This window comes from Homo sapiens, chromosome 18 (genome assembly GCF_000001405.40).
Source record: "Homo sapiens chromosome 18, GRCh38.p14 Primary Assembly".
Classification (NCBI taxonomy): Eukaryota; Metazoa; Chordata; class Mammalia; order Primates; family Hominidae; genus Homo; species Homo sapiens.
Window position 1 is genome coordinate 53,050,687 of NC_000018.10, and position 19,396 is coordinate 53,070,082.

General features: G+C 36.2%; 1 protein-coding gene across 5 annotated transcripts in view, besides 1 other annotated feature; it reads left to right on the forward strand.

The window, feature by feature from the left end:
* The window catches only part of DCC (DCC netrin 1 receptor), a 1,195,703-nt gene that overhangs the window by 710,490 nt on the left and 465,817 nt on the right, over positions 1–19,396 (forward strand). For all 5 annotated transcript variants that reach the window (NM_005215.4, XM_017025568.2, XM_017025569.2 and 2 more), the window contains 2 exons: positions 12,619–12,773; positions 15,360–15,480. In NM_005215.4, the coding sequence (NP_005206.2) occupies positions 12,619–12,773; positions 15,360–15,480 (276 nt within the window). The remainder of the gene's footprint in view (positions 1–12,618; positions 12,774–15,359; positions 15,481–19,396) is intronic.
* Positions 5,280–5,883: an enhancer, noted in NCBI's record as "OCT4-NANOG hESC enhancer chr18:50582336-50582939 (GRCh37/hg19 assembly coordinates)". NCBI's record gives its function as "activates a minimal SCP1, AML or CMV promoter by ChIP-STARR-seq in naive H9 embryonic stem cells {active_cell/tissue: H9 hESC(naive)}" and the evidence as "EXISTENCE:reporter gene assay evidence [ECO:0000049][PMID:30033119]".

Below are 19,396 nucleotides of genomic sequence, written 5' to 3' on the forward strand. Positions count from 1 at the left end.
GGTTCTCTAAATATAGAATCATGTTATCCACAAATAGGGACAGCTTGAATTCTTCTCTTCCTATTTGGATACATTTTATTTTATCCTTCTACCCGATTGCTCCAGCCAGGACCTCCAGTACTATGTTGAATAGGAATGGCTTGGAAATTTTTTAAATGCAAAAAGGAAAAGAGATATATCTATACTTGCATAACCATTGAACACTTTCACCTTGGCATGTTTACTTCCAGAGGCAGTTTTCCAAAAAAACAAAAACTTTCAGACCAGGTATAGTGGCTTATGCCTGTAATTTCAGCACTTTAGGAGGCTGAGGCAGGAGGACTGCTTGAGCCCAGAAGTTCAAGACAAACTTGTGCAACATAGTAGATGCCATCTCTAAAACAAAATAAATACATTTGCCAAGCATGGTGGCGTGCGCCTGTAATCTCAGCTACTCAGGAGAGTGACATGGGAGGAGCACTTGAGCCTGGGAGGTCGAGGCTGCAGTGAGCCATGATTATACCATTGCACTCCAGCCTGGGCAATGGAGAGACATTGTGTCTAAATAAATAAATACATACATGTTCATGTTTTTATTCAAGGGCATAATTGATGAAGTCCCTGCTGAAAAAGAACATCTCTCATAGCAGATTTACCTTCTCATTCCTCCTCTCATTTGCCCACCTTTGGATCTTTAGTATCTAAAGTATTTGTTTCACCCTGTTCAGGTTTATAATGATGGAATTCTTTTCAGTAACCATTATTTCCATTGTGTTTACTTTTATTTCTATATATAACCATATTCAAAACATACCACCAATTATTTTACTACAATGCCTAACTGGGTGGCTGATGTTCTTAATTGCTTAGATTTTGTTGTTAGGTTTATTCTAGAAAGTGCTGTATTTCCTGAGCACTTTTCATAATTGACAAAGTGGATTTGTATATAAAAGATTCTGTATAATATTCTTGGGTAACATTACTCCATTGTATTCTGATATTGGATATTATCATATGGAAATCTGATTCCCTTTCACTTCTTGTAGATGTGTTTTGATTTTGGTTTTTCTTTCTGGATGTTCAAATAATTTACTCTTCATCTTATATCTTATATATCTTTACGCCTCATCTTGTATCTTAAATAAGATATATCTCTATCTTTTGAGATTTATGTACTCAGTTTCCCGGAAACACAGTCTTTCAATCTGAAAATTTATTTTCCCAGAAAAGTATCCTATTCTTTAACTTTGAATATATATTCTGTCCCATTTGTGGGCTTATGGCATCAGGAATGCCAGTTATTTTAATACTGCATCATCTTTCTTTGTACTCTTTTTTTTTGTACAAACTCAGCCCTAATTACTTTAATTCCTTCACCCTTCTCATTTACATTCACTCTGATGATATCGAGTCTGATACATGTTGGTAATTTGATATTTGGTGGCATCTATTATGAGACTTGTACTTTCTAATTTATGTATTAGTTATATAATGATGTTGTTTTGGTCCTTGATTCATTTCCTTAGGTCCACTAACTCCCTTTTCATTTAATTCTGTTGTTTTATCCTCCAGTCTTTGACCTCTAGCTCTATTGAATTTATTTTCATTTTAAATGAATCCATTGTGTGAAGCAACTTGAAAAATTTCTTTGTGTCTCTACCCTATATTTTCTTCTGGATTAAGTTCTTTGTTTCTTAAATTAAATCTCTCTCTTCTCTTCCTCCCTCCCCATCCCCCCTTTTTCTTTCACTCTTTTGCATTATTGTTGGCTGTATTATGTTTCTATATTTACTATGCCTGTCTTTTATCTTGATCATGTGGGAGTGGCACTGTCCAGACATTCTACTTGCTCTAATGTAGTATAGGTTACTTCTAGACTTACTTGTCATCCTTCTTGGGATCCCTTAAGCTCCAGTTTGAAGTCTGGATGTTTCACGTTTTGTGTACTTTTAAATAACCAGGCATGGTAGGGGAATGAGTTTAGTTGAAGCAGCATTCAAACTCATTTAGGATACCTAGCTTTGCTGGCTAGTACTGTCTCCTACTCTTGTTTGTGGGAGAAGGGGCTGTTCTCAAGTTTCCAATTAGCTGTTCATTTCATTGATGGTCCATAAGCCTTACCTTACTCAAACCAACCTCCATCCCCTGTGTGTCTCCTCAACAGTAATTGCAACTTCTTCTCAATCAGAAAAGGAAATGCCAGGCACGATGGCTCATGCCTAATCCCAGCACTTTGGGAGGCTGAGGTGCGAAGATCACTTGAGGTCAGGAGTTTGAGACCAGCTTGGCCAATGTGGCAAAACCGTGTCTCCACTAAAAATACAAAAATTAGTAGAGCGTGATGGTGTGCACCTGTAATCCCAGCTACTCGGAAGGCTGAGGCAGGAGAAGCACTTGAACCTGGGAGGTGGAGGTTGTAGTGAGCCGAGATCGAACCACTGCACTCCAGCCTGGGCAACAGAGCAAGACTCCATCTCAAACAAAATCAAAAACAAACAAACAAACAAAACAAAACAACAGAAAAGAAAAGGAAAACTTGGGGCTATTCATAATTTTGCATTCATTGATGTTCGGCGGTGTTAGTGAGAATTCTTAGACTTTCCCCCAAATTTCAGGAAAATTTCTGGGGTTTAAGGGAAGATAAGAAAGTAAATCCTTTTTCTGTTTTACTCCAGAAACACTTGTTTTGATTTTGTTGTTTTTATTTGCTATTGCTATGCTTTCTTTTCATTCTTTGACTGCTGTGGGTGATTTTTATGTGTCGATGTATATACTAGGATTTACTTTTTATTTCATTAGGAATTAAGAGAGGGAAATTCAGTTATGTGTTATAATCTACCATTCCCTCATAGAAAATCTACTAATAAGAAATGGGAAAAACAAATTTTCTATTATGTTTTAGTGTACTTCTGTAATGCAGTTAAAAAGACAGAGAAATAGTTCTCATGCATGACAGAAACATTTATTCTACGCTTTTAGAATAGCCACATCTTTTCCTCTCAAATACCAACAGGGAATACTAGAAAATATTTGACTGAGGAAAAATAATAGCTCTCAAATTTCTGTCAGTATGCATTGTTTGGGAACAGGATAATTTATTTTGGATATTTATTATTTGTGGCATCAAACAACACACATGATTTAACACTTAAATCTTGTTTTCCTTAACATGGTCTCATTTAGTTCACAGCTAAAACAGAAAATTCGACAAAGAAAGACGTTTATCAATTGTATATGTATGGATATATATTTGTGTGAGTCTATGTGTGTGCAGGACACTTTATTCTGTGTGATCATATATTTTATATAGAAGAAGAGTGGTCCCTCAGTATTTGTGGGGGATAGGATCTAGGTCTAGGATCTCCTGCAGATACCATAATCTGTGAATGCTCAAATTCCTGATATATAATGTTGTAATATTTGCATATAACCTACGTCAATCCTCCCATATATTTTAAATCATCTCTAGATTACTCATACTTAATGCAGTGTAAATGCTGTGTAAATAGTTATTAAGCTGCATTTACATATTTTATTTTTTATAGTTGTATTGTTATTTTTTTATCTGCAGTCGGTTGAATCCTTGACTGTAGAACCCACAGATATATATGAAGGACCAGCTATATAAAATCTTAATTCTCATTAGAGAATGTATAAAATTATCTCATATGAGAATATATATATAAATATAAATATGTGTGTATATGTAGGCTCACACACACACGCAAGCTTAATTGTTGGAGAGTTGCCAATAACTATCAAAAGCCATCAATAGCACATGAATTATTTCCAGCCACTATATTAACAAAAGCGTAGCAATAATGTCAGTAAGTATATAGAATTTGGACCCAGAGATAATCCTCCCATTATTATTATCACAGGCTTGAACCTCACAAAATTGTGCTCTCAGTTTGATCCTAGGCTCCACAATTAGAGAGATGGAAAGCTTAGTCTGGATTTAGAAAGAAGCAACTCTGATTACAGGAAGAGCTGGAACTAAGGAAGGGCAATGGGATTATTTGTCTGGCTAAAGAAAATTGTGTGGAGAGATCTAGAATCGTTTCCTAGCATATATGAAGGACACTAAATGTTCTTCATTCCCACAGCACATACAGCTGAATTTTTAGATAGAAGTGTTTCTCAGCAAATTGTGCTCACGAGAAGTATACTATTAGGGTTTGAAAATAAAATTCAAAGGTCTAACATTTTATTTCTCTAGGATTATTAAAATATTGTCATTGCCAATGATAGCAGAATAGCTTACTATTTGTCCTAATATTCTATAGGTGCAATTGGTATGAACTTTAGAATAAAAGAATCCCCTTATATCTTAAATGTTGTTCCCCGCTTAGATTTTCCAAAGCGATTACTCATCTGCAGCCAGAAGATGACTGATTGCCAAGGGATTTGCCGTTGAGGACTGAACTACACTTATGCCTGGTCATCTATAAATATTTATGAAGCACCTATCCCATGCTTGGCCTTGGGGACACAAAGATAAATAAGACAATCCATGTTCTTAAGGCGTTAGTAGCTTAGTGAATTCATATCCAGATTGATGCCACAATGGGATGAATTGCTGTAGAACCAACTGCTTTTCTGTCATGTGGTTTTCAGTAATAATATATTTACTTTCATTTGAGAAAACATGTATAAAAGTAAATATCCCACTTGGGCTTACACCTGTGTCAGGAAAAAAGTTAATACATATTCCAGAAATTGTCAGAGCACCCAAGCACATTCCCCTCATCATGGAAATAATCACTGCCAGATGAGATTGAAACATCTTTTGGAATAGAAAATGCTTAGAATGAAATCCATACCTTGAAATCCATTTTTCTAGTACAGTAGAAGGGCCATTCATTATTAATAGAATGTAACTTAAGTATGCTTTTATTTCCAACGTGTAATACATTCTACTCTCTTAAGGCTAGAAACCAACTTAACCTAAATGTTTAGACAGTATAGTCAGGTATGTGTGAGAGACACTCGTATGGAGAATCAAATGCAAATCTCAACAACCAATCCTATGAGAGAGTACAGATATGTAGGTAGGAGAAAGTAAACTAGAGAGAAATATTAAGCAGACTTCAAGTCACTTGTCACGTAAGAAAAGGCCGGGAGAGAAGCTCTGAATAGGACAGAAGATGCATCATCACAGCACCTTCCTTAAAAAAGAGGGGAAGGAAGGAGTATGCATTTAAAGATCAAGTTAGCCAAATACAAGTTACTTTGGCAACAAAAGTTGGTGCAGGAAGAATAGAAACTATCGGGTTGCATTTCTCATCTCACACTTGACAAGTCTCTTAGAAATACCGTTACCTAGAATGAGAATTTTGTTAAGGTATGTTTAACATGGAAGCTTGTATTTATAAAGAATATTTTTCCTCTTAGGTGTATTAGTCCATTCTCACACTGCTATAAAGGTACTACCTGAGACTGAGTAACTTATAAAGAAAAGAATGTTTAATTGACTCAGTTCTGCATGGCTGGGGAAGCCTTTGGAATCTCACAATCACGGCGAAAGGCAAAGGGGAAGTTAGATACATGTCTTCACAAAGCGGCAGGAGACAGGAAGTGCCACAGTTTAAAACCATCAGCTCTCCTGAGAACTCACTATCATGAGAACAGCATGGGGGAACTGCCCCTATGATCCAGTCATCTCCCACCAGATCCCTTTCTCAACACACGGGGATTACAATTCGAGATGAGATTTGGGTGGGCACACAGAGCTAAACCACACCAATATGTTATCTCCAAACCTGCATTCAATGCCAGATGGCTTCCTTCGTAGTAATCTGAATGTGGTTGCATGTGAAACAATGGCTCCTTAAAGTGAAATTATCTGTTTATACTATTTTGATACTGCACTTGAAATAACCCATTTGTTTTGGATTTAGAGGTAGCCCAATTTGGCAGCAAACTCATCCTAGACATTTGGTGTGATTAGTCTTTTCAAATATATGCATTCCAGAGAAGATTAATGGCCTTATTATGTCCAGTATTTCAACAAAAATGAACAAATGAAGTCCAAAGGCACATGGCTCCAGGGAAACTAGCTGGCTTTCCACTGTTCTCAGGGCAGAATCACAGCCACTCAAAGATTATGGTTATTTTTTTTTCTCCTAATAAAATCTGTTCATCAATCTGGTTTTTTACTCAGTTTGTGTTGTTCAGTCACCAGAGTGGTTTGTGCTGCCTATTGTTAATTTAAACCAACTGCATGGTTTTAAAAATGCATTCTTTGTCATTTCAAAGAGCTGTGGTAATTCTTTGGAATATAGTGTTTTCAAAGTTCAGATAATGCAGAGAATACTATATATATTACAGTGATATTTTAAAATTGACCCATATTTATTACATACCTAAGTAACTGGAAAAGAATAGCTGAATAGCTAAGTAACTTCTAAAAGTAAAAAAAAAAAAAAAAAAAAAAAAGCAAGTCTTCACCTATATGGGGTGTTGCTGAAAATACTTATGGGCATTTATTATGCGAAATAAAACCCATAATACTATTTAAGCTGTTGATGATGACTTTGTTTGGAGCTCAAATCACAGAAGAAATTTCATTGTACAGAATTCAAATGGGTAGTCATGGCATAGAAACGTTTAAAAAGAAAAACAGATAAATTTAAAGAAAACTTTTACCCAAATTTAAGGTTTGCCTGTACAACTCTTAACAATTGCAGTCTGGAAGTCTCCCTTATGTATTATACCTTTCTAAATATGATAAACACTTTTAAAAAACAGAATTATATTTTTTCTACATTTCTATCACTTATTAGTTTTGGTTGGGATTCCTTGTCTCAGCCCCCCATAAAAATGATTCTTTATGTATATACTAGAAGTACTTGCAAAGGTCCTAGGAAACCCAGATCTGATGGAAATGTGGACAATTTATTTCTGGCCATGGATTTTATTTTATTCCAGAGAAGGAAAGTACAACTGAAATCAATATCTTGCCTGAAATTCTTGAAACATTGTACATGTGTATGAAGCTTTTCTCTGAAATGGACTAATACTATGTAAATGGAACAATTTGATAAACTTAAAAATTCATGGTACTTTTATTAGTCATTAGGAAATTGCTGCCAACCAAAAAGCCTAAAGTAGTGAAATGAGTCCTTCCACAGAAGTGGGAGAAAGCGTAATGTGCAAAGGGATTTAAAAAACAAACAAACATATGCTTCAGGCTCCATCTTTAAGAACCTTAATCTGGTTGGTAAATAGTGATATATGTGAAAGATAACTTATATAATAAGTAGTGTAAAAGTTGACCACAGAGATAGACCACTGCAAGAAGCAGAAGAAAGCTACTCTCAGCTTCATGGAACGTTATGGAAAAGGGATATGTGAGCTGCTTCTTGGAGAATAAATAGAACATATAACATCTGAGGAATGCAATTCCAGACAGAAATCCATGGCCAGAAATGTGCTGAAGAAATATATCCATGGCCATTGATGAATCATATTCACTCTTTAGTCAGTTTTTCTATCTGTAAAATAAAACAATTATATTAAATCATCCTAAAGAGCCATTTTAACTATTATATCCTGTTTTAATAGCAAGTAGAATTAGTTTAAGTAGATTAAATGATTTCTACAGAAAAGGAATGAGAAAAAATAAGATTTGAGCAGGGAAGTTTTTAACCTCTGAGTTATTAAATATAAAGTTACAAGCTTGGTCTTTATTCTGTGGACATTGAAAGCTCATTGACAACATTTTGAGAACAGAAGTGGTATAATGAAAGTTTTCTCATAATTTTTTAAAATGGTACTTCCCATTACCCTTTAATTAGAGATGACTTTATCAATTTGTGTTGAGAATATAGGACTCCAGAGCTGTGAATAGTATAACATGATTATACTTTGATCCTAAATTCTAGGAAGCAATCCCAAAATGGGACAAATAGATCCCAGATCCTAGTCTGATCATCACTGAGAAAAAAACAGAGATCAAAAAAGGGAAAATTGGGTAAACTTTATTTGTCTGCTGCCTTGCAGAATAGTGTAATCATCAAAAATATATTCAGTTACATATTGATTTCATGTTAGCCTGATAGAGCCACTTCCACTGAGAAGTCACATACTAGTGTCAAGATAAAGCACATGCACAAATAAATACAGTGCAGAAGAAACCAAGTCTTAAAATAAATACCACAGGGTTTCCAAAAGGAGAGAAAATTTTTCAAGAAAAAATCAGGACATCCTTCTTGGAGAAGTAGCCTCATGAAGGATAGGTAGGGTGTCTGTATTAGTCCATTCTCATGCTGCTGATAAATACATACCTGAGACTGGGCAATTTATAAAGGAAAGAGGTTTAATTGACTCACAGTTCAGCATGGCTGGGGAGGCCTCAGGAAACTTACAGTCTTGGTGGAAGGGGAGGCAAACATGTCTTTGTTCACATGGTGGCAGCAAGGAGAAGTGTGGAGCCAAAGGGGGAAAAGCCTCTTATAAAACCATCAGATCTTGTGAGAACTCGCTCACTATCATGAGAACAGCACGAGGGTAACTGTCTCCATGATTAAATTACCTCCTACTGGTTCCCTCCCATGACATGTGAAGATTATGGGAACTATAATTCAAGATGAGATTTGGGTGGAGACGTAGCCAAACTGTATCAGTGTATATATTATAGAGTGAAACAGTAAACATTTCAGGGTGAGAAAATAGAATTTACAAAGACTTAGAATTAGAAAAGGGTCATTTGTTTCATTGAGCCATGGGGTATATGTAAGTCACGTGTGGATGATAAGTTTAACAAGTAAGCAGTAATTTGGTCATGTATTATTTAAAAGAAAGGCAGAAGAGCTTTAACCTAATTCCTAATCCAACCCAAGCCTGTATGTTTAGACCTTTTTAAGACCCTCTCCCATGTTATGTAAGTATTTTAATTCCTTTTGCTCAGCGAACTTGGAAGATATGCTTTAATATTTCTGAAAAGTATTCTAAAATAATCAATACCCGTTATTTTCTCTAAATAGTCATGGTACCTCATTCTTCACTCTTTATTTTTTCTTATCATTAATTGACTTTTTTATGACAAGAAAATAATATTATTTTGTAGATATATCATTTCCATGGCATTATCCGAACTTCTTCTACTCATCTTCTACCAATATTGCCACAGCAAAGGATGAAAATATGCATTTTGTTGCTTGAGTTTTTTATTGGCATCAGTAGCAAATCTTTGTTGAGCATGTACTAAGGATGAGGCATTGTACTAGGCATTGAGATATGGAGAAAAATCCTTAGCCCTTGTCTTTATGATATAGTCCACTGATGACTGATAACACTGCCTAATAGACAGTATATTTCAGAAAACATGAGACTTAGACTCATTTTTTTTTTTTAAGACAGAGCCTTGCTCTGTCACCCAGGCTGGAGAGCAGTGGCACAATAGCGGCTCACTGCAAACTCTACCTCCCAGATTCAAGCGATTCTCATGCCTCAGCCTCCCAAATACCTGGGATTACAGGCATGTGCCACCACACCTGGCTTATTTTTATTTGTTGCTGTTGTTGTTGTTGTTGTTGCTGCTGTTTAGTAGAGATGGGGTTTCACTATGTTGGCCAGGCTGGTCTTGAACTCCTGGCCTCTAGGGATCTGCCCACCTCTGCTTCCCAAAGTGTGGCTGAGCCACAGTACCTGGTTAGACTTAGACTCATTTCTGATTCACAATATTGCTGTTTGGTACTTCAACTCCCCATTTAAGTGAGAAAAGTTATTTTTTCCCTTGCCTGCTGTCTGATATACTGTGAAAGTTAGAGAATCTGAATAGAAATAAAGATATCAAGATAGCCAGAGAAGACAAGGTGTCCAGTGTGATGACGGAAGCCTAAGAAATATGAGAAAATTACAAAATATAGATTAGAACTCACATATACGTTTGTAATCAGGAAATAATTGTTGAGGCATCCCTGTGGTACTTAACAATATTACAACTATAATAATACGGCTAAATCAGATTATTTTCCCCTTGGTTAATCAGAAATCACTCTATTTTATTAATCAATGTAAGAGAAGGTTTTAGGGATTCACTACGTGATCAGCTTTGCTTTATTTAGTTCCATTGAGAGATAATAAACAGGAAAATGAGTCCTACAACCCCAAGTTGGAAAAACAGTGAATCTGTGTGAAACTGTTAGAAAACAGCAATCACTTAAACTCAATCATTTGTTTTTTGAGAAATTCTGTTATGTAGAGCACACTATTTTTGACATTGAGAATATAGAAAACTACTCTAATTGGAGAATAAGGAAATAACAAAATTGAAAAAAAGCAAGAGGCTACATACATACACATAAACAGACATACCACATTTATGTATTTTAGTATAGTTACATACAATAATTATGTTTGCTACCAGTGATGTATTGTAATATATTTTTGCATTTATTTTATTTATCATGCAATTATGCACTGTTATTTGCAAACATTAACTGTCATTATTCTCAATTCTTATCTCGAGGTTATAGATGAGGATAGTAACAGAGGCACTCGCAGTGAGAGAAGGACTTGAGATTTAAATCCAGCCCAATCTGGCTCCATTATTTGGGCTCTTGAAACTTCTCTTTTCTCTTCTTCAATATAAATTTGGTGTTCTCTTCTCTCCCTTTCTCTTCTCCCTCTATATTCCTAATCCTTTCTATTCCTACTCTCTCTTTCTCTCTCTGTGTGTGTGTTTGTATACATACGTAAACGTATATATTTAAATTTTAGTCTCAACCCAGTCAATTGATTTCAAGTTCTAATGGATGTGACCCAAATTTTGAAAAACTCTAATGTAGACATAATGATTTCAGAAACAGAAAGGATGGATAGATTCAGGTAACTTTTATGGTACCAGGAAAGAAGAACTTAAATAATAAAGGGAAAGGAGGGTTAGAAAGGTGATTTTATTTAATGACTCTAATTGCTTATCACAATTATCTCTCAGGCTCTGGAAGTATTATTGCAGTATCTTTCTGCCAGAAGTTTCAAGTGGCAAAAGAGACAGTTATAGCAAATCACTTTAGTACATAGGCAGGGAATCAGACTGTCTGGCTTCATAATTTACAAGCTGTGTAATTTGGGGAAAGTTATTTAAACACCTTGTACTTCAATCTCTCCATTTGTAAAGTGGGGATAATAGAACCTGCTTCAGGTAGTGGGAGAGATAATAATAAATATAAAGGGCTTAGGATAATAAACTCTGCATTGTCAGCTCTCAATAAATGTTTGGCATTGGGTATTAAATGAACCCTTGACCAAAGTCTTTGGGAAAACAGACAGCAGAATGGAACTGTTTCCATATATTCAACTAATACTTCTGCTCAGAGGTATTCAAGTAATATTTCTGATATCTTTTGGTTTATTGTCAGTGAATTTGACTAAGGAATCAAAAAAGCCTTATACTAATATCATCAATAATTAATAAATAATTTTAGCCAAGTTGTTTAGAGGTCCAAATATTATTTAGTTACTAATCAGGGAAATAATAAAGAAAGAGAGAGATCATTCAGTAGGAAAAATCAGGACTTAAATCCTGAGAGTTTTTACCAGCTCTTTTATTTTTCTAGAAGGCAATGGCCATCAAAGATTGGACATTAGCTTTGGTGTCAGGAGAAAGTTTTTCTGATGGCTGTTAGAAAGAGCAAAATACAGCAGCTACTTAGGCAAAAAATTAGCACTCATCACTCACTGAGCATAACAAAAATGACAAAAACACAGTCTACCTTTGGTAATGGCTACTAAAAATACCTATCCATTTTCTATGTGAAACAGATCACGGCTGCTACTTCACTGTGAATTTAATCTGGCTTCTCAGTCAATATAATATTTAAATCTGATGTCACTCTTAAGTTTCCCCACAGAAGAGAATAAACATTAATTTTTAGAATTTCTTTCTCCTAGGCAAGGTTTTGTGGGCTAAGCCTGAGCCAAGTCATTAGCAAAGATGTGTTATATTTATAATTTTCATTCAATTGCAAATTTCCATCATAGAGTAACTAGTGTTACGATAATTAAGAAATGGAATTAAATTAGTATATCACATGCCATGCTGTGAAAATTATAATACAGTATAGTAATACACTACAGTAGATAATTGCTAAGACAATAAGAATGTGGCCACAGTAAAGATGATATAGGCATTGTGTAGTTCCCTATCACCATAGCCAGTTTCAACAGAAAATGAGTCCATCACATTAATCCTAATGAAACTCTAGAATTACAGGACAACTGAGCTTTCTTATCTTATCCTCTGGGTTGTCTCAGTTCCACCAGCTTCCCTTTCTTTACTTTATCAGAATAGTTTCCAAAGACTTATGTACTTTTCAGTGTGTAAGTCAATTGGGTACATAACACATGGATATTCAGAATGTTTATTATGTATGTTTTTTTTTTCCAAAAAGTGTTTCCTTTTTTCTTTCCTTGTGGCAGAACACCACTAACTGCAACTGTTTAACTGCATTTGGGGGAACAAAAGATTTGTTTTATAATAGTTCCTGTATAATAAGCTAAGAGCTTAGGGAATGATTTGAATTATAAATATTTTCTATCCCAGAGCAGTGTTTTAAACTCAGTGAAGACCTCAGCAGCATGCAAGTTCACATCCCCACCCACTCACTCACTTTTTTTTTTCTGTCTTTGCAGTTCCGCCATGGTTTTTAAATCATCCTTCCAACCTGTATGCCTATGAAAGCATGGATATTGAGTTTGAATGTACAGTCTCTGGAAAGCCTGTGCCCACTGTGAATTGGATGAAGAATGGAGATGTGGTCATTCCTAGTGATTATTTTCAGATAGTGGTAATTATTTTGTTTCATATTTGTTTTATAATCCCATTCATTGTTTTCTATTTTTTTCACTTGTTTTTATTTCTTGAAAAAAAAAAAGGTTCCTGTTGGAGATTTTTTGTGATGTGTTAAAAAAGTTATTCAAATAAAGCAAATGATTTTCTAGACATAAGAATATTTGAACTGAGAAAGAGTGATCAAAGAATTCAGCCCCCTGGTTTTACAGACAAGACTTTAAAACATACAAACAAACAAAAATAAATGAAATACAGACAGCCTAAGTATTTCTGAGTAGTTTCACAGTTTCACTGCTGGTTTATCAAAGAGAGTTTAGAACCTAGTTCTAGACTTAAGCCAAGAATCCCTTACTTCTTTGACTTTTACCCATTTTAATACAGTTTTATAAGATATGATACTTATGATTATGGAAGTCTTCACTTGGTAATACAGACAGCTTTTTTTTCCTACCCTGCCCTGTAGGACCAGCTTATCCTACATGAGCCATTGAGAAAGGCAGTGGTGATGTGGTAATGAGGACAGTGGGTGCTGGTGGCATTGGTGGCTGCAGTCATAGGCCATGAAGAACCAGAGTACACATTGCTTTGTAATTTCCAATACTGGAATGAATTGAAGCTAAGAGGAATAACTTCTATGGTTTACTATAAGTTTTAGTTCATTTTCTATCCCTATTGTGGGAGATAATAGGGATAGTGGTACTCTATTCACTGAGTTGTTGGCCTGGTACACATGGAGTGCTCAATACCTTCCATTATTGTAGCTTTTGCTGTTACTGGCAGAATGCTTGTCTCATTTGGAAATGCTCTATGAAATCTCACTTATAGGTATAGGTTAGCATTGGAGGTTCTGATTTTAGGTATATGAATATATGAGAGCGATGTAAAGTTCTTTTCAAATAACAAAGAACTTGCAGCTACAGAAGAGGGTTTTAGGCCTACTTATGTTTGAGATGCAGACATGACACTTTCAAAGAGCTGTAATCTAGCCAGGTCTCCTGGGCAGAATGAGACTAGAGCATAGTCATCCTATGAGTCCAGACACAAGCTCTCTCCATCGTATTACAATGGCCTTTGTTGCAAAGTGCCTCTTCCACAATCAGTCGACTTTCAGAAACTTTCATAATATCTGTGTGCATGCATGTTGGCCTACTATAAAGGTTCTTAAGGAATACATCCATAAAGGACATTTTATCACTTTTATTACCACTTATTATTTTTCACTTTTAGTTGCATTTGTTTAATTGGTTAGAAATAGAGTAAGAAAGATAAAATTTTAACTTTTAAATGCCACAGTGATCCATTATTTCCTTTAAAGGCGATGTTATTTCCACTACCACTGAATTAAAAATGATCTGCCAATGGGCACTTTAAAAAGTGTTGTATACGCCTAAAATATATGCTACTTACACTTAAAGGACATTTTTCAGTGCCCTTAAGGACGTATTGTAAAAGGCAACATTTATTTTTTTCTACATTTTGAATATAATCTTTCTCCCAGCATGACTCATTACAGCCAACCAATTTAAATTCTTCTTTTATAGGTGAAAGAAAATGTAAGGTATTGCCCGATTTGCATTAAATTGTGCTTAAAAATATTTCCTCAACAGCTCCAGAAATTTGAGAGCCATTTTCTGTCACACACTTAACATTGAGCACAAATAGTAAGTTATATGAAAATTCTTAATTAGAAGTTAGCCAGTTTTATCAAAGAATTTTACATCAGCTAGGAATTGATTACAAGACACTAAAAACAATTAAGAATTCCCCATGAGGTAATATTTATCTCTTAATGACTTCAGGGGAGGTGATTTAACACGTTTCACTTACTTAACTAATTCTTACACTAATATCGAAGATAAACTGAATTAGTATAATTAAATGCTATCTCTAGATCATTTTATCATCCATCCTTGAAAAAGATGGTGGCTCAATTTCTAAATAAAAGGAGTTAATGTTGCTGTATTTAATCTATAAAGGTGAAACATTTCAGCCATACAATAAGAACCACATGGGTGTAAAATATTCACCATACTCCCCTCTCCAAACCCCAAAAGCTTATATGTCAAAGCCATCACAATATTTAAAGAATTTTTAGATATTTTTCTGGGCAAACGCTTCCAGAAAATATCCAACTTTGATTTCTTGTCCTTTAGAATTCACAAATACCAGTATTTATACCCTTTCTTTTTTTTCCTGAGCAGCTACTAAACCTGAACTTCCTTCAATAACAAGTAAAAGAATGAGATTTCTTTTCATGGTAATCTTTGTTGCTTCTATAATTAATAAAATACTTGTCTGTTGACTGCTCATTTAGGTATTGAGGATGGTGCATATTTTTGTCAGCATATTATTTAATGCAGATCTAGGTTAAACTGATGCCTGTGAATTCAGAAAAGAAAATTGGGAAGGTATGACTTTTCCCAGGTGGCATAGGACACGTCTGCGAGGCTGAGACCCCTCATGGCCTCTCCTCTTGTTTCTTCTGTGCTGTTTTATCAAACTTTGGTCTCATCTAAGTTCATTTTGTCACCTTGCATTTTTTGCTTTCTAAAATACTTTACCTGCTTTTTCTTTTCCCTAGGGAGGAAGCAACTTACGGATACTTGGGGTGGTGAAGTCAGATGAAGGCTTTTATCAATGTGTGGCTGAAAATGAGGCTGGAAATGCCCAGACCAGTGCACAGCTCATTGTCCCTAAGCCTGGTAAGACAATGGGAACCTTGCTTTGGTACCTGGAATGAAAATTATTCATAGTCTGTTGGTAAAATCCATATTGTTTTTCCTACCCCTCAAGGGCAATATGGCAATATGAAATCATTTAGTTAATTAAGGTGTATACTTGTGTATTGATGACATTTTCCCTCTAGAAAATTGTGTGTGTACATGTGTGTATATATATATATATATATATATATATATATATATATATATATATGTGCATGTGTGTATGTGTGTGTTTGTGTATATATATATATATATAAAATCTCCAATGAGATAAAGTCATCATGAATAATAGGGCCTCTGCTTTTCAAGGCAATAACCACTAAATTATTACCTTCTCCCTCTTTTGTGGCCTGCCTTTCTTCCCAGCATTCCATTTAAATATAAAATATATAATATATACCTTGCATATATGTTAGGTGTATATTTTAGTTATATATGTGCATATATACGTACACACATATCTATAAATATATATACATAAGGACTGTACATATTTTCTTATATGTAATCTTGAATCAATGGAAGTTAATTAGTGTATTAGTCTGTTCTCCACTGCTATAGAGAAATATCTGAGACTGGGTAATTTATAAAGAAAAGAGGTTTAATTGGCTCATGGTTCCACAGGCTGTATAGGAAGCATGATGCTGGCCATCTGCTGGGCTTCTGGGGAGGCCTCAGGAAACTTGAGATTATGGCGGAAGGCGAAGGGGCAGCAAGTGCATCTTATGTGGCTGGTGCAGGAGAAACAGAGAAAGAGGGGGAAGTGCTACACACTTTTAAACAACCAGATCTCATGAGAACTCAGTCACTATCAGGAGAACACTACCAGCAGGGAAATCTGCCCCTGTGATCTAATCACCCCCAACCAGGCCCCACCTCCAACACTGGGGATTGCAATTAGACATGAGAGTTTGGTGGGGACACAGATTCAGACCATATCAAAAGGATCTTGAAAAATTACTCTTTTTAATTATAATTGCAAAAAATGTCATTTTGTTTTATAGTCTTTTGGAAGCTTAATATATTGCTGAATTACAGAATTCTAGTATAAGTCCGGGCACAGTGGCTCATGCCTGTAATTCCAGCTTTTTGGGAGGCCAAGGGGTGAGGATGGCTTGAGACCAGGAATTTGAGACCAATCTGGACAACATGGCAAGACTTTGTCTCTACTGAAAATAAAAAAAATATATATTTAAAAACAGGCAGCCACCTGTAGTCCAGCTACTTGGGAGGCTGAAGCAGAACAATCGTTTGAGCCCAGGGTGTTGAGGCTGCAGTGAGCTATGATCACACTACTGCACTACAACCTGGGCAACAGAGCAAGACTCTGTCACAAAAAACACAACAAAACAAAAACTAGAATAAATTGATACTAGACCTGTCATGTAACAGCTCTATAACAACACAATTTCTTGGGAGGAGAGACAAAAATAAAAACAAAAGAACCATCCTGCTGCTCTGAAATGATTAAAGAAGTTTAAAACAGGGACAAGACAGTTGTTAATACAGATCCAAATACTTCAAAATGTTAATATCTCCCATAAAGAGTTATCTATCATGTTACATACATTTCAACTCTTTTGGACCAGTTTTCTTCCTTTTGACATGGCTCGCTTTTGTGTTAATCTTTTCCTGAAGTAAGTTTAATAGAAAGTAGGAAAAGCATATAAGACATAGTCTTTCTCTGGCTTTTATCATTTAAAATGTGCCTATTAAGTCCTTATATTGTATGCACCCCAGCCAGTTAGCTGAAGATTCACAGCAGTGCTCACAAAGATGACTTTCTCCTATTTCCTTGATTGAAATAAAAATAAAATAACTATAGAACAACAATACCAGATGAGTCAAGAAGCTAAAGGAACTATGTAGGAATTAAAAGGAGCAATTAACTCTGGCTCAAGATCACCAGTTTCTCTGATGGACTTCTTTTCCCTCCATTTGATGTGCTTAAGTGTCAGTGTAACTTCATTGGTGTGACTAAGTATATTATTTTCTGCTGAACTAGTAATGCATAAGTAGGAGAAAAGGAACCTTTAAAATCAGGGTCTCTAATGTGAGCCACACTTTTTTTCTTTTAATTTTATTATTATTATACTTTAAGTTTTAGGGTACATGTGCATAATGTGCCGGTTAGTTACATATGTATACATGTGCCATGCTGGTGTGCTGCACCCATTAACTCGTCATTTAGCATTAGATGTATCTCCTAATGCTATCCCTCTCCCTCCCCCCACCCCACAAACTGTACCATATCATTAGTAACAAAAGTATGGGTGCCTTTAAGCTGATATTGGCTGCTACGCCAGTCACAGAACAGGAGAATTGTAGGTGAGTTTGATTTTTCAGCTAAGGCCATAAAGCTGATGACAATGCAAGATAAGTGACTTCGTGTTTCTAAAGGAGGTGTAAGATGTATCCTCCTAGCACTTGGCACTGACCAAAGAAGTCCAGTGAGCATCCCTGTACCTGCTCACAGGGAGGGAGGATTCTTTGAAGTGCTAGAATTCATAGGATGAGAGGTTGTCATGGTATTTTCTCTCCTGTACCAGCCAAGTTATACAGACTCCAAGAAAACCTTTTAGACTGTGTGTGTGTGTGTGTGTGTGTGTGTATGTGTATGTGTGTGTGTGTTGCTGGGGACTGATTGCAAAAATGGGAAATGGGCAACTTTATTCTGCTATTTCATGGTCTATACAAACCTGCCCCCAGTGTCTGAGGAAGCTGAGAGACCAAAGAAAGAGGCTGACAAATCTAGTTTCTTAGAAATACTTAATAGGGACTTATGAACAGGAGCCATATCTGTGTCTCTGGCAGTGCTGAGACAACATGGTGGCATGGGGATGCCACTAGCCCCCAGACCGAGGGCTTATATACCATGGGGAGAAGTGGTTTTGAAGGGAAGTGTGAGATGATGGAAGTACAGTAACACCAAAGTTTTCTGACCTAATGGCAGGATTTATGGTAAGTACCTGCTGTTACACAAGGAAAATTGATAAACAGGAAATCTTAGAGGCCTTCCCAGAAGAGGGGTTAATCAGAAGCCAACAAACATGGTGGATTAGCTTCCAAGATGGAGTTGCTTTCGCCTCCACACTGGCTGGAAACCACCTGGAGCTGTCCACAATGCAGGGAAGAGAAAGGAGAGGACAACATTAAGAAGAAGCTCTATTTCGACCCTTGAGAAGAACAAGGGTGTCAGTTCCACTTGAAGAAGGCAAGGCTGAAGGTTTCTTGAAAGGACTTTTCCCAAGAGGTCCTGTCTGCTGAGGCTGTGCCAACCAAGACACTAGAGTGATGGCGCCTGGATGGAGCTGAGCTAGGAGGGTGGCGCAGGTCAGCCAGAGAGTGCTTTGCCAACTCCAGCAGGGGTCCAGTGACTGCATTTCTAAGGTGGGGATTTTCTGAAGAACTCACAGAACTGCTCCACAAAAACAAAAAAAAAAAAAAAGAAGCTTGCAGAAACCTTCCATGAGTGTGGACTTTTGAAAGGACAAGCTGAGAAAAACAGTCTTTGTCTCTTTATTCCAAATCCATCCTCCCCTCTCTGACCCTGAGGAAGCCCTAAATAGAAGGGAGAAGCGACCTGAGAGACTGAAACACAGATGATAGGCAGTCCTACTGCCCCCTTCCCTATTTACAATCTACACTTGCTTTGAGAGATGGAAAGAAATTTTAAATTATTAGTTGAATATTTTAATTTAGATCTCATTGAGGTGTTTGTGTGTTGTGGGGTTGGGGGGGGTTGTTATTGTGTGGAGTTCTGTTTGTTTTGTTTTTGAATACCTGAAGATAAAGCTTTTTTTTTTTTTTGAGACAGAATCTCACTCTGTCTCCCATGCTGGAGTGCAATGGCACAATCCTGGCTCACTGCAACCTCCGCCTCCCAGGTTCAAGT